We start from the raw sequence: 15875 nt of genomic DNA on the forward strand, positions 1-15875 counted from the left end.
TGCTCCTGGCTGGGCTTAGCTTGAAACACAGGCGAAAAAGAAAGAAGCCATTCTTCCCCAAACTCCAAGTGAAGACACCACAGGGAGTTCAGCCCCCCTCCTAAAGCCACCATGCCTCCCTCCCTGAGCACAGTGCTCAGTGAAAAGGCTAGCCAGCCTTTCCAGACCCTCTCCATAGGCAGTGATCTTACAGCAGTGAACCCATCAGAACAGCGCCTCCAGCACCCTACCCAACCTGGATGTGCACCTTGATGAGTAGAAAGGGATGAGAAAAATTTGAGAAGACTCTTGGGTTGGTGGGGGAACAAGGACCAAGCATGTGGAGCTTTCAGAGGGATCATCAAGGAGCAAAGGAGGGCTGGGAGGAAGGAGAGGAAGGAAGGTCTGCATGAGCAGGGTAGCTTGGCCTGTGCCCATGAATGGGCAGACACTAACTGAGTCATCCTCTGTGCAAGGCCCTCCACAAGGCACAGCTTCAAACACCCAAACTTTGGCCCATCCCGCAAAGAATTCATAAGTTGCTGGGGCAGAGAAGGTTCATGAATACGTGGAAGATTTGGAACAATTCCAGGACATCTATGTTTAAGGACAAATGAGAGGCTCAGCCAGCCAGAACTGAAGGTATTGAGAGGAATTATCCCTGCAGACTGCTAGTAGGGATGTGTGTAAAGAGGGCTTTCAAGGGGTGATGGGATTTGGGCTGAAGCTTAAGGAGCAGCCTGTAGGGTTTGGGAACAGCAGGTAGAGGCGGTGAGAGGGGATGGGAAGCACTGTTTAGCAAGCACCTACTATGGGCCTGGTGTCGTTTAGCTCATTTCAGCATTATCTCATGAAAGTCTTACAGCAGCTTACAAGTTAGGTGTTTTCATTCCCCCATTATACATGGAAAATGGAAGCTGGGGAGGTTAAGTAAGTTGTACAAGGTTACACAGGTAGAAATGGCAGCATGAGGATTTGAATCTAGGCTTCTCTGACCACAAAGCTTTTCCCTGGTGGCTTTACCATGAAATGATAAGCCACAATGACAAGATAAAGAAGAGAATGAGTAGCCCAGATTGAATGGGCAGAGGGGTCTGTTTCAGGGAATCAAGAGAGAGGAAGCAAAGAGGTCAGATGAAGCCGGTTCTGAGTATAGGCTGGAGAGTGTGGACTTGACACTTTAGACAACAAATCATTGGAAGGTTCCAAGCAATGGAGTGATGTGGTTTGATTTATGTTTGTAAAAGCTCACTCTGGCTGCTGTGTCATGAACAGATTTTAGGATGCAGAGGTGGAATCAGGGAGCCCACTGAAGAAGATATTCATTGAAGGGGTCTGGGGAAGGATGATGGTGACTGGGACCAGGGTGAGGGAAGTGGAGATGATGCCGTGAAGTGCTCCAATTTGAGACAGTTCTAAGGAGCAATTTACAGGACTCAGTGAATGCGTAGGGGAGGGAGAGGAAAGCATAAAGATGTCTAAAAGCATTCCTCATCCAATTTAGATTATTAAAAAAGGATATGGTGGAGAAAGCACTGAATGTGGAGATAGACGGGGGTCCAAAACCTGGCTGCACCATGTACTAGTTGGGTTCATTTAGTCCAGAGGGAGTATGTGACTCCCAGCAGATCCTTAAGCATCTAATGGGCTATGGCCATGGGGACACTGGTGCTTGGGTGAGAAAAGCTCCAGGGGCCACAATGGGGCTTACAGAGAGGAGGAGGTGAGGACATGGGACACGAGATATAGGCTTCCCAAATAAGAAGCTCAGATGAGAAGAGGAGAAGAGTGGTGAGGCAGAAAGGACAAGGGAGAAAGGAGGGGTTCCGCGTCTGCTCTTCTCTTTTGTTGTTCTTCCTCCAATGGGAACATCTTGAGCATGGGTGTAGGCCCAGTGGAAGAAGCCAGTATGGACCTTGGCTAAGCTGCCTCCCCTGTCTTAGCCTGTTTAAGTATCTGTGGAGTAGATTAAACTAGTATTATCTACCTGACAGGGCTGGTGTGAGAACAATATGCAATGATGGTTAAAAAAACTGCTTTGAGGCTGGATGTGATAGCTCACAGGTGTAATCCCAGTACTTTGGGAAGCCGAAGTGGGAGGATCACTTAAGCCCAGGAGTTCAAGACCAGCCTGGGCAACATAGTGAGACCCCATCTCTACAAAAAATAAATAAATAAATAAGGAAAATTAGCTGGGAGTGCTGGGGTGCTCCTGTAGTCCCAGCTACTCAGGAGGCTGAGTTGGGAGGATCACTTGAGCCCAGGAGGTTGAGGCTTCAGTGAGCCATGATCATGCCACTGCACTCCAGCCTGGGTGACAGAGCAAGACCCTGTCTCAAAAAAACAGACAAACAAACAAACCGCTTCAAGAAGGGCTTCTGTAGCCCTGGTCATGTTCAACTTCTTGACCTAAGTAGGGGTACACAAGTGTGTCCAGGTTGTGATCATTCACTCATTCCTCCTCCCCACCACCCCCATGCCTTTACTCCCCAAACTCTTCCAAAACATACCTGTTCCTATTCAAGCTTCCTCATGTTCCTGGAAATATAATCCAGGGTCCCAAGTGCACAACCCAAGCAAATTCAATTCTATTTTCACTTTCAGGATGTCCCATGCATTCTAGAATCATCTCAAGTTGTCATGGTCCTGTCTTTTCTAGCCTCTCTGAGCTTAAAGTCCATGTTTACAACCTTGAAGCTACCAAGACTCATACCTAGGACCCATCACAAATGGATAAGAGGTCAGGAACCAAACATTCTCCAAGCTTCAGTTATTCACTTATCACCTTGAAGATTTTTGCTGTGTTCAATCTTCATGATTTTTATCATATTCATAAATGTATTTTCCCAAGATGCTTCACTTCTGGCCCTTCATGCTTGCTCTGGGACCTCTATTTCCCAAGCCCTCTTTTCTGGCCTCAGATCGATCCCCTTGGAAGCCTCACATTCCACAGTGAGCTGCAAAGCCCAAGCATGGGTCACACTATCCTGTGATTCCTCTCTATAATTATCTGTTGCCCCCACTAGGCTGAGACAGCCTGAAGTCAGTAGCTTGAGAGATGTTTGTGGAATTGTTGAAGAAAACTGAAGAGACCCTTGAAAGCTGGAGACTCAACAGGAGAGGTTCCTAGCAGGGGTAATATTCCAAACAGTTAACAGTGTGTCCTTCCCCTTTCTGTTTCTGGCCAACTGTTCTTCATCTTTCATGACCCAGTCCAAGCATCACCTCCCCTGGGAAGGTATCTCTAGACCTTCCAGACTGAAGAAGCTTCTCTTTGATAGTCTCACAACATTATTGATCCTTCTCTGTATTGTCATGGCCTTTGGACATGTCATTCACACCCTCCTAGGCAATGACTGGCACCTCTATCTCCCCAACGCTCACACAGAGCCTGGCCAGAGCAGATCCCTGGGAACTGCTGAAAGAATGACTGAATGACTGGGCAGGTGAGTGGGCAGATGGATGTGGTGATCCCACTTTAGATCTCTTGCCCCAAAGTCAGAAAGCTCTGCTTTCTGGATGGCACAGTGCCCCAAGTCTTCCAGGCTGAAGCTCTAGCCAGACCCACACCCACAGTGCTTTGTGGCCATGACTATTACAGACAGGCCCCCTGTCCCAGTGAGCAGAAATCTGATGACATCAGCATTGAGCAGTACCACCACTCGCCTGAGTGAAGGCACTTGAGGCTGTCTAGCTCTGGCAGAGTTGGTTCCAGGAGCCACAGCCCTTCCTCACAGCCAGGCTGCTGGGGCTGGAATGGGCTGCTGAGCTAGCACCACCTGCCCGGTGTCGCTTATCCCAGAGGGCTGCAGCACTCACAGTGAGCGGCTGCGTAAGTGTGTCCGTGTGTGTGTGCGTGTGTGTGTGTGTGAGAGAGAGAGAGAGAGAGAGAGAGCGCATGTATTTGCTGTGGGACTCATGGAAGGAGCCCTCTCATTGGCTGCCAAGGGTCCCAGTTCCAGTCTGTGAATCTCTGGGCTGCCAGCTCTGCCCTCCCCTGGGAAGGCAAAGCAGGAGAGGGAGGGGAGAGTGGAGTGAGGCTTCAGGTGTGTCTGACAAGGAAGCAGGTACACCTGGTGGCCACACTGGGCATTCTTGTGGCATCTGGCTGTGCTAGCTCCAAGTCTGCAGCCTGACAGCTTTGTGCTCTGCCCAAATTTTCCCAGATTTCTGTTGGGACTGGAGCCCAGAGCTCATTGGCAGCTGTCACTTACAGAACTGGATCCATCCCCCAGTGGAGCAGGGAGCTGTGTCACTTAGAATTCCTGGGTAGCACATTCCTTCAGTAGACCCTGTCACACTCCTGGATTAGGCTCTGTTATTGGCCCCGCGCTCCTGCAAGCTTCTGCAGACAGAGTGAGCGAGTGAGCGAGTGAGTGAGCCAGCGAGCGGCAGCAGGAATGACAGCACTGAGAGCAGAGACAGCCAGGGACGGTGAGGGCGGGCGAGTCGGGTCCCGGGGGGTGCCTGTGCTGGCCCTTTCTGCAGAGGCAGATGAAGTGGGGGCCACTTTCAGGGCTTGCTAGGGTTTCTCTTGGAACCTGGGCTGCTCGACCCGAGTGGAGCACTGAGCAAGGGGGAGGGGGAAAGGGAGGGGGAGAGAGAGGGAGGAAGAGAGAGAGAGAGAGACTGAGAGAGACTGAGAGAAGCTCCTAGCAGGCTCTAGTCCAAGTGAGAGGCTCAGATCTGTACAATTCTGTGCCAGGGGCACAAGTGGGATTTGGAAGAGCCATGTGTGTGAGAAGCAAAGCTGAGGTGATGTAAGCACCTGGGGAGGAGCACAGGCAGAGGAGGAGGAGGAGGAGTAGGAGGAGGAGGAGGAGAAAGAGGAGGAGGAGGAGGTGGCAGCGGCCGCCGCGGTGGCTGCCAGTCCAGAGCAGAATGATGGGCAACTCTCACCACAAGCAACCGAGGAGTAAAAGCCAAAGCAGGATGCATTCAGCAACAGGTACTCTTTTCCCTTCCCTCCTTTTCCGGGGCTCCTACAGCCAGGGCCTCCCAGCTGCTGCCATGCGGGGCCCCTGACCCTTGGCGTGACTTGCAGGGGCTGGCAGGGGGCAGGGAGAGAACCCGAGGGAAATGAGGGTGAACTTCCAGCTCCCCTGCTCCTGTGACAGGCTGAATTGCATAAGTCAGAGCATCCTGAGCTGGGAGGGGCCAGCCCCTTCGCCGGCAACCCTGTGTAGCCTCTGGAGGGTGGCTGGAGTGTCAGAGAAGTGAGCAGCGTGCCAGTGACTGAAGTTCATGGCTAGGACTGTGCTTTCTCCCTGGATCCAGTAGGCAGAATCTTGGAACCATGCATGGCTTATCCTTTACTAGCCGAGCCTCCTTTGTTATTCAAACCTTCGTCTCCCCCCACCCCAGCCCCCATACCCGCCCTGAACATGTACACCTACACCTCTCCTGGCTCTACCTCATATGCTGCATGCATGGAATGATCCAGACAAATCTGTTTCTTGCTGTGTAATGCCCTGCCCCCCACCACCCTGCCCCAGCCCTGACAGAGCTCTCCTCATGCATGGGCGAGAAGAGCATTTGCCGGCCTTGAGTTTGTTGTTCCCCTACCTCTGGGTGTGCTCTGCTTTGCCCCTTCCTTGCCCCTCTCCAGATATGGACTCAAGGGTGCTGGCATAGTTCTCCCCAACAACTCCTTCCTGGATGCTGACACTGTGGAAATCAAGGTCTGCAGACAACTTTTCCTAGCTCACCTTCCCAGGCGGTGCAAGAACAATTTGGAAGCAACTTCTCTTCATCCATTCACCCATTTCCACCAACTCTTACCCTCCTATCTACCCCTTGGCCACTTGAAAGTACCTTCCACTGCTACCTGGGGTTAGGCTTCATGCAGTAGGGTCACAAGTACTTTCTCTCTGTGCCCTCCTCCCTCTGTCTTGGTGGAGTTCCCTCTCCTCCTTTGTCAGCACCCACCACCCCCACCACCACCACCACACACACACACACCCTTCGCATCACACAGAGTCCAGGAGGAGCCTGCAGTTCCCTCTGTGCCTGTTTGGGAAGCTCTCATTCACCATTCGGGCCTGTGAGAAGGAAGGAAAAGTTTTTGCCAAGTTTGACTCACGTTTACCATAAGAAAGCAATAAATGGATTGTTGTCTTGCCAAAAGTGTGCCATGCTCCGGCCCAGAGGGTTGCCTCTGCCTCCTTCTGGGGACTCAGCTGGCTATGCAGTTGAGGGTAGTTGTCCAAGGCCAGCCAGTCCCAGGGGCAGCCCTACAATGGGATTCTTACAGGGCGTGGTGGGGAGAGAAGCTACAGGAAAGCAACTTGGGATATGCTGGCACGCAGGGTAACTGTTTCTGGAGCCCGCCTGTCAGAGCAGGGCTTTGTTTGGCCTCCTATATGGGCTGAATTTGGGTCTCTGTGGTGGACTGAGCCAAAGAATAAAAATTCTGAGCATTGAAGTTTCTTTGGAATCTTTCAGGGACATACTCTTCCAAGGCCACCATTAGGTGAATGGCCCAAACACCACCTCAGAGTCTCCTGCTTCTCTGCCTTGGAGCTGAAGGCTTAGGACCTGCTGGTATTACATGGAGATGCTCTGTGCAGCCCAGTACAGAAGCTTGAAGATAACTTTTTACATAATTGCTGATGTGACAACTTGGGACAGTTACTGGCTATTGTGTCATTTCTTAGAAGTTGCTTTGTATCTTCAATGCCAGCTCCAATCCAGGGTCATCCTAGACGTAGTAGCTATGGGAACAGCCTCTGGCAGCACGAGGAGGTGGCCTCATAACTGCTTCTCCCTCCCTCTCCCTTCCACCTCTTGGTCCTCACCTTACCACAACACCACACCTTCTCACTCACAATCCCTAGGTGATCCCAGAAGCCCCGATTGAACACTCACTCCCACTGGGCTAAACTTGTGCCACTCTTTCTCTTCTTGCTCGCTTTTCTCTCTTCCATTTTCGCTTAGTGACCCCACTGTCTTTCCAGTAACCCAAACTAGCATCCTGGTAGTCATCCTTCACTCCTCTCTCTCTCTCCCTCACCACACACTTTACAGTTTTCACTCATCCATCTATCTGCTCATTCATTCAAAAAGTATTCATTTTCGAGGCCTCCTCTGAGACATCTGAGCCCCTCTCTTATCCTACTGTCAGTGTCCAAATCCAGGCCTTTGGTCACTCTCGCTTATTCCAGAATTGGGCTGTCTGCTTCCACCTCTGACCTTCTCCTGGGCACGCCCAACACAGCCACCAGAATGAGCTGTCCCTGTGCTCCCTTGCTATGAACTCAAGTCTTACTAATTGGGGTACGAGAGATTACGATTGCTCCCCAAGTGTGGAGTGGATCTCAGGTGGCCCAGGGGATCATTGTAGTTGTAACAGAGAAAACTCTTTTTGCCTTTCAAGTTCTGTATATATTTTAATGTGTATTCAAAAAATATATAACTAATACATCAAACCCATGATTTCTCATATTTTTTTAAATTAGGGTAAGGTTAAATGTTTTTAAAGCGAGTCTTTTTGAATAAAATGATTAAGTAAATAGTAGAATAGGAAGCACATGGAAATGGCAAAAGTTGGGAAACTGAGATACCAATGCCTGAGGCTTGAGAAGCACCCATTTCTAGGATAAAGTATGTTTTCCTTAGCACAACTTAGAGATCTTTCATGATTGGGCCCCTCCTACTTCTCCAGCCTCACCAGCTATCATTTCTCACCTTGAACTTGATCCAGCCATATTGAATGAGTTGAAGGTCTCCAAATGCTCCCATTCAGCATTACCATGCTTTCACTAATGCACTTTTCTCTGCCTGGAACACCTCCTCCACCTGCTATCTTCTCCTGACAGTTTTCTCTTCAGCCTTCAGAATCCTGATCCTGTGTTTCCTCTTCTCTGAAACTGTCCCTGACTGACCGCCTTCCTTCATACAAATTAATTAATAAAGTTCATCACCCCCTCCTCGGTACTAAATTGATACCTTTTACATAATTTTATCATTGCTGGTATTATCATTTTTATACTTGTTATTGCATGTTTATCTCCTCCTAGTAAAATGTAAGCTTTTCTAGGGCAAGGGCTACAATTTGTATACCAAAGGGTGGGAAAGAACCCTTGACCAAGACTCAGAAGACTTGGGTTCCGGTCTCTCTTACCCAGTAACCTGCAGGGTGATCTTAGGCAGCTCATCCACCTCTGCTACCTCTGTCCTTTGGCTATAAAAAGCTACAAATCCTCAGGGGGATCCTTAGCACATTCCCAGGGTAATTGGGAAGATGCGATGTGAGATAGCTAGGAAAGCTTTTGAAAGTTGAAATTGCTTTTCAAACGAAGAAGGGTGATTATGATTGCAGAGGGAGGAAACTTTTCCCAGAGGCTGGAGCCAGAAGTAAGCCCCACAGGTTTAGGAGACTGTGGAGGAGCAGCCAGGCTGAGCTGCAGCAGGGAAAGGATGAGCAAAACCAGCCACACAGCCAGTAAGGGTGAGGGTGGGGGCGGGGGGGAGCGGGGCAGTCGCAGCACGTGGAAGCCCAACAGGACCTTAGAGCATAGGTTGCTTTAAGACTGGAAAGCCTTGTCTGCCAAGCTCATGAGTTGGGATTGAGTTCTCACCAACTCTCACCTTTCGCCTATTGAGTGAGTGTAGCCCTGTCACCCTGTGAATCTGTATGTGGTGGGGAGGGGGATGCATGCTAGCGCCACCATCACTATACAGCATACGCATAGCTGTGCATATATGGACCAGCTGTTTGAACTAGCATCCCATAGAGAAGAGAAAGAGAGTTAATATCCATCATGCACCTATTATATGCCAGCACTTTTCATCCACAACTTTACTTAGCTCAGAGAAACCACCAGGCAGGGATTATTGATGCCATTTTACAGATAAGAAAACTGAGACACTAAGGGAGAGCTGCCCCATGATCCAATAACAAGGAAGTTGTAGAGCCAGGATTTGAGCCCAAATCTGCCTAATTCTCAAGCCTGTGCCTATTGCACCATACCATGTGCTTCTCAGCATCTTTGCATCTGTGACAGGCATTAGTAACCCTGGAGACTGGATGTGGTGGAAGGAGGGGTCTGGGCTTGCTTGTGGTAGGGCTAGCAAATCTCTATGGCAACAAGGGCTGCAATGCCCAGCCTTGTAGAAGTCCCACCACATATCGTTTGATGGCATATTTGTATTATTGGAATAACTGAACTCATTGGGGACTCCATGCTGGGTCCAGAAGCTAGAGCCAGGGATTCCTGAGGTAATAAGAAAGTAGAGGATTCTTGAATTTAAGCCTAAACCAGGTTAGGCTGAGAGAGGCTTCAGATCCAGACGACTGGTATCATGCTGGTTTCCAACATCCCTCTCCCCGCAAGCAACCGAATCAGCACTGTAAATACGGTGGCCTGTGCTTCAGGATGAAAATGAGTCCACCATTCTCTTCTCTGTACCTAAACAAAATGAGGAAATCATCTCATTACATTTGCAAGGCATTTTTATAGTTGACCTGGCTCTTTCATCTTCACAAGTTTATTGAATTCTCACATCCTCGATTTCAGTATGGTGGAAGCTAAAATGGCAGAGACTTATAAGGGAGTCCATTGACCCCTATCCCCCTGGGAGCTTCTTCCTAAAGACCTATTTTCTAGTCAGACTTAATGAGTCCATTGGAAGGTATGGAAGAAGTTAAAATTCTAGGCCACCGAACAAAATATTTCCTGGTGCCCTCCTCCCATGACTGAGAGATGTGTTGGAGGCAGAGGCACAGGCCCTGGGGATTGGGGCCAATCGTGATATGCCCACATTTTCTGGGCCAGAACATAGAAGGAAACAAAAAGTAGGTGTAAAAAGAAAGGTACAATGGCCACCCTAATGTCAAATACAAGGGGAATGGCAAAATAAAGATGTTGCATCCAACTTCACTGAAATATGGTAGACCATGAAAGCTAATTATGAAGACTTGAGCAACATGAACAATGCTTATAATAAAGTGTAACATGCAAAAGGCAAAACACAAAACTGTTTCTATGCTGAGCTTCACAAACCCTGCAGAAAGTATGTCTGCACATGGCCAATAATTGGAAGAGAACTGTGGAAAAATCAAAACTTGATTTATTGTGGGTGGCAGGCTTGGTGGATTTTTCTTTCCCTTAGATTTCCATTAATGTTGTTATAATGTTGTTTGTGCAAAGAATAATAAAAACCATTAACACATACAACAATTACACTGGGAAATCATTCTGTCAAGCTGAGAGACCAAATCATATCATTTCCCTGAGCCAGCAAACACACTCGGAAGACATAAAGACAAAATTAGGTACCTTTTTGGAGAGAGGCAGCTACAAGGAATGGGGAGAGATCATGAAATTAGTGTGGGAAGCTGCACGTTTGAACTCAAGTTCAGATCCTTATGTTAGAGAAAGCTGTTTCACCCCTGTATCCTCAGTTTGTTCATCTGCAATGTATGAATGTTGATAATAATAGCCTGAGGAGCAAATGATCTGGGACATTCTCAAAGACCTTGTGAAGTGTAAAATGCTGCATATTGTAAAACCTTATCATGGCATGTGTATGGATGCTTTGAAACAAGAGTGTTAGATACTGTTTTCCACTGTCACACCCAGTTGACAACAAAGCCAGCCTGGGCCTGTGCTGCTGGGTGGCTTCAGTTAGCAACCACCTTGTCTTCTCTCAGTGCTGGGTGCCATTGAAATCTGATTAAGCAAGCAAAGCTTTCTAGTTTTCGCCTTGGATGGGAAATCATCAAGAAAATGTTGTGGGTTTTTCTCTTCCTCTAAAATGCTTGAACTCTGAACATGGTGAAGACCTCCACAGCTCTTGGATTCTCAGCTAGACTTGGCCAGTTACAAGCTGTGTGTCTTCAGGCAAGTGACCTAAGCTCATCGAGCCTCCTTGGTCAGTTGGAATTAATAGTGCCTACCTCATGGGGTGGTTGTGAGGATGAAATCAGGTGCTGCATGTAAAGCACCTGCTATGTAGTAAGCAAGGAGCGTGTGTGAGCTGCTCTTGTTATTGCTCAAGATGATCAGGGTAAGAAGGGTCTCTAAAAATCACCTGAACCAGGGGTTCTCAATGAGGCGGTGAGAGGGATGTGGAGGGGGTCTTGGGGGAGCACAGTGTGTGTGTGTGTGTGTGTGTGTGTGTTGTGTGTGTATTTTTTTTTCTGAGACAGAGTTTCACTCTTGTCACCCAGGCTAGAGTGCAATGGCACGATCTCAGCCCACTGCAGCCTCTGCCTCCTGGGTTCAAGCGATTCTCCTGCCTTGGCCTCCCAAGTAGCTGAGATTACAGGCATATGCCACCACGCCCAGCTAATTTTGTATTTTTAGTAGAGATGGGGTTTCTCCATGTTGGTCAGGCTGGTCTCGAACTCCCGACCTCAGGTGATCTGCCTGCCTTGGCCTCCCAAAGTGCCGGGATTATAGATGTGAGCCACCGAGCCCAGCCGAACACAGTGTATATTATATATGGTCATGCATATTATTATTTTTGCATGGCAACATTGAAAAGTCTTCCACGAGAAAAGCAGATTTTTTTGTCTCCATTATGGTGAGACCCAGGTATTTTAGTAAAGGTGAGGTGTGTGCTTAGAAACCACTAATCTCCCACAAACCTTTCATTTTATGGATCCACAAAAGTAAGGTGACATTCCCAGGGTCATGCAGCTACAGAGATCAATAGGGGCAACAGTCCAGTTTCTTTCCCCACCACTGCCACCACCACTGCCCAAGAGTTGTTCTTATGACCTCTGGGATTTCCTCATTAACAGAGTAGAGACACCCTAGGCCACATGGTCATGGCCGTACAGCCATTATCAAGCTGGGAGAAACCAGACAAGGCTCTGACATTGAAAAGAGGCAAAAATGATGCTTGAGACTACAAGGAAAGATGTCCTTGGTAGGAGACCCTGCACACTGATGTGTCAGCTCCTCATCACCCCTAGGCAGTACTTTCAAACAATCTGGGCTAACGTGGCCTCCTAAGTGCCATCTCCAGTCATGTGGAGTAAATTGTCTTTGATGAAACCTTCATTTCTCTCAATAGCAGATTTTCTATTTCAAAAGTCAGTTTCCTGTCAAAATCTCCCAGAGCACAGACAGAGGGGTGTGGGGGTCCCAGGAGCAGGGTGAGGCTCCTAATTGCTCCCCACCATTCGGGTGGAGTGTGTTCTCTGAGTTTTGTTTTTGGCATTAGGGAGGGTAGCACAGAGCCACCTCTATCAATTCCTTTTGTGGAATTCATAGGCCTGGTCAGGGTGGGGTGCAGGTGGGGTGCTCTTTGGGCCCTTTAAGCTTGTCTCAGAGATGTGCAATCCCCTCCCCGATGCCACACAGGAGATAAAAGTCATGCACTGCCCCTGTGGAATATTCTGACCCACCTAGCAGCCTGGGGCCCTGCTTCTGCTTCTGGGACCTGGCTTTGGGGGTTTCTAGCTTCCCAGGCTGAGCTCTTCACACTCCCCCCACCTCCCCACTGTTGAACACTGCCACTTCTGGCCTCTCCCCTGCCAGAATCTTGACTATCCCAACCCTGCACCATAACCGTCTTCCTGGCTGGCTTGGGGGATGGGAGCTGTCTGCCCAGGGTACAGAGCGAGGTTGGAAAGGTTGAGAGTCATGATGCTCAGAGCCAGAGGTCACACTGCTGGTTCTGAGGATGAAGATGGCTCCCCACCGCCCTCAATTACAGGTCTCCAACCCCAGAAACATGAGGTCTGTGTCATGGAAACTTATATACACAGCCGTTTCCCCACCCAGGGACAATAGCTTACCATGACTCCAGCCCAAAGAACGCCCAAACCTGAGTTGGGGGAACAAAAGACAAATATGGACTGGGACTCTAATTTGTGGAGTCTTCCCATCTCAAATAACATGTGGCTCTGGCCATGTGCAATGTGCAATGGCAGCTCCTACCACAGCAACAGAAGCCACCTCCAGCCCAGAGGGATCCGGGGTGAGATGTGACTGTGAAACAGGATGACAAACTCAGGTATGTGTGAGGCAGGCCAGAGACAATAGCCAGTGGGAGAGCCAAGCCCAGAGTAGGAGCAGCAGTGTTTTAGAAAGGTGGCCCTCCTGCGCCTTAGAGGGAAGGCCCAGGGTACCGGTCAGAAAGGCCATAGGAGGACTGCTAGGAAACACGGGCCAGCTCCAGCAGGGCTTCTGTGGAGCCAGGCAGTAGCTTGAGCAGTGGGCAGATATTTACTCACAGAGTCAACATAGCAACTTTATGGCACAGGTCCTTTTATTAGCTCCTAAAGGGCATATATAAATGAGAAACCGTAGACTACATAAGTGATCTATAGATTAGAAACTGAGGCTCAGAGAGGTTAAGTGACATGCCCAAGGGCACACAGGCTGTAAATGGTGAGGCTGGGATTTGAGCCCAGGCAGTAGGGCTCCCAAGTCTGTCTTCTTAGCCCCTATGCTAATCTGCCAATGTGAGGGGGGTAAGAGTCAGGCTGTCCTTGCTTTTAGCCCACTAGCTGGGCTTTAAGACTGGACTTTCCTAAAAACTGGTGCAATGGTTCTCCACCTGGGGAGATTTGAAGCAGTATCAATGCCTAGGCTCCACCCCTCAGAAGTTCTGGTTTAATTGGTCCGAAGTGAAGTTCAGCCTTCAGAGAGTACAGAGGGTAGGGTGGAACTGCAGTTTTCACAGAAGCTCCTCAACTTAAAAACACACAGCATCTCTCCCATCCTGACAAACATCTGACTCCCTTCTCTAGTTCTGCCTCTCCCTCCAGCTACGGCCCTCTTTCCTCTCTAACCACAGCCAGACTTCCTGAGAGGTGTCTCCCCTCCCCTCCCATTTCCCTCCTTAACCTGCTGCAGTCTGGCCTCCGTGAAGCCATCCTTGCCAAGGTCACCCTCTGAGTGGTGCTAAAGTGAACAGTGCTTACGCCTCGGACTACTTAACTTCTTGAATGCATCTAACCATTCCTTGCTCCTGGAAACTAACCCTCTTCCCAGCTCAGGGACACAATGCATTCTCCTTGTCTGGGGATTTCACCTCAGTCTTTTTATATGGCTTCTGTACCATGCTGTACAAATACATTCTGAAGGTAGGGTCTCCAGAGACCCATGCATGAGCCCTGGCCCTGCCCTCAAAGAGTTGAAAGTCTTTTCAACGCAGATGGCTCTGGCCATGTGCGAAGGTAGACCTCCATCTTGAGCCTTCCTTCAAGCTGTTTCCTTGTCTTTCTGTGTCCCTGGCAAAGATAGAAAAGAGAGTAAGTCTCACGCTGAGTCTCTTTCCACCCTGTGAGCAAGAGCCAATGATTCCTCTCTTCCGATTAGAAGACAGTTACTGGAACGAGGGCTCAATCCATCGCCCATGCTCATTTTGCCAATGTAGTCATTTAGTAATGAAGAACAAAGAAGTCCCTTTGTAAGGAGCTTCTCCCACATGCGATTTGTTTCCTGGGTCCTTGTCCTTCCAAACAAAGAGAAACAAATTGGAACAAGATATGTTTTCAGTGTTTGAAAGCCAGTGATTCTCTTGTGCTTTGTGCACCAGGAAATAGGCTTTGCTGGAATCTGCAGTCTATTGGCGGAAGTGTAGGTAGGTGAAGAGGTAGGGAAGATCGGCAGGGTTCTCCTGATGCCACGAAGAGCAAGCTGGATGACCCCAAGTCTCATCCTTTAGCTGTTGGGCCTTGGGAAAGCCCCTTTCCCTTTCTGAGCCTCAGTTTCCTCCTGGATTAAATGGAACTAGTTGTCTTTAGCTCCTCTGTGGTGAGGATGATAGGAGATGACCTCTATGTGCTGTAGAGTAGGCCATTGCTAGGCGTTGGGGGAAATTGAATGGAATTGCATCCAGCCGTAGTTCACAGACTCGTTCCAGGCCAAGAGAGAAAGTGTGTGTGTGGAAGAGAGACTTGCAAAAAACAAGGCCTATCCCTGTGCACGCCTCTCCTCTGGGAAGGAAGGGGCCTGCACAGTGACAATAGACCAGGGGCGCTGACTCAGACAGCCAGTTCCTGTTCATTTCCCCTCACTGCAGGACAGCCGCTGAGCGGGAGGTCAGCCCTCTGAGGGGCTCTGACTCGGGCCTTTGGCTGAGAACCTTACCTAGAGAAAGACAAGCCCAACTCACAGTAAACTTCCCTCGCCTGTCCGCTGTGACTGGGCCGACGGGTCCAGGGTGGCTGTGGGTGGAGTGCAGCGGGGTGGAGAAAGAGAGAGGAAACTCACTTTTGAATCCTCAGTTGCTTTCCCTAGGCTGGGCTGCCCAGGAACAACTTCAATGGGCAAAGGAGTATGTGATCGATGGGACCAAGGTGCTGGGAAACGGGGTTCAGGAAAGTCCCTGGGCACCCACTGAGGAGCCTAGGGACAGGGTTTGGGACAGTGTGGAGCCCGTCGGCTCCCTGCCCCCAGTGTGGGCTCAGCACACACTTTTCTCATGTGGATTCTTGGTTATCCACACCGCTGGGATGGAGAGAACTGACTCTGTCACCCTCTTCTGGATCCGGGGAGGTGAGTCGTTGGGGGAAGAAGGGTGCATGCTCAGCAGAGGGGAAAAGGGAAGGAACTGGGGCTCATGGAGGAGGAGGAGCTTTCTGCACTCACAGCTATGCTGAGGCAGCCTGGGCTGCTTTGGGAGGGAGTGGGACTGCGTTCTAGAGGTGTGCACAGAGGGGCAGGATGGCCACTTAACCGAGATCCTCTGAAGGGAATTCATAATCGGATGGCTTTGGAAGACAGGGTGGATGTGATCACATCCCAACCCTGATATTCTGGGATCCTAAAGGATTAATAAAAGTGATGGAGGAATTCTGCACGTGTGTGTGTGTGTGTGTGTGTGTGTGTGTGTAAGAATTACTGCACCTCTTACTTCCTCTACTCTTGTCCCAGATTCTGAGGCCTTGTCCCTTCGGTGGTAGAAAATTCCATCTCATTCAATCCATCTCA

At 49.4% G+C, this 15875-nt stretch overlaps 1 protein-coding gene across 12 annotated transcripts in view, besides 1 other annotated feature; it reads left to right on the plus strand.

Moving 5' to 3' along the window:
• NHSL2 (NHS like 2) overlaps window positions 1–15875 on the plus strand; it is a 242442-nt gene that overhangs the window by 153982 nt on the left and 72585 nt on the right. For 3 of the 12 annotated variants that reach the window (XM_047442067.1, XM_047442069.1, NM_001438809.1), the window contains exon 1: window positions 4327–4927. The exons of the other annotated variants lie outside the window; for them this stretch is intronic. In XM_047442067.1, coding sequence (XP_047298023.1) covers window positions 4861–4927 — 67 coding nt within the window. In that variant the 5' untranslated portion in view covers window positions 4327–4860. Of the gene's footprint in view, window positions 1–4326; window positions 4928–15875 lie in introns of those variants that run through there. 12 annotated transcript variants of the gene reach the window in all.
• Window positions 4983–5540: an enhancer, noted in NCBI's record as "H3K4me1 hESC enhancer chrX:71289659-71290216 (GRCh37/hg19 assembly coordinates)". NCBI's record gives its function as "activates a minimal SCP1, AML or CMV promoter by ChIP-STARR-seq in primed H9 embryonic stem cells {active_cell/tissue: H9 hESC(primed)}" and the evidence as "EXISTENCE:reporter gene assay evidence [ECO:0000049][PMID:30033119]".

The sequence above is a fragment of the Homo sapiens genome, chromosome X, assembly GCF_000001405.40.
Source record: "Homo sapiens chromosome X, GRCh38.p14 Primary Assembly".
NCBI classification, from domain to species: Eukaryota; Metazoa; Chordata; class Mammalia; order Primates; family Hominidae; genus Homo; species Homo sapiens.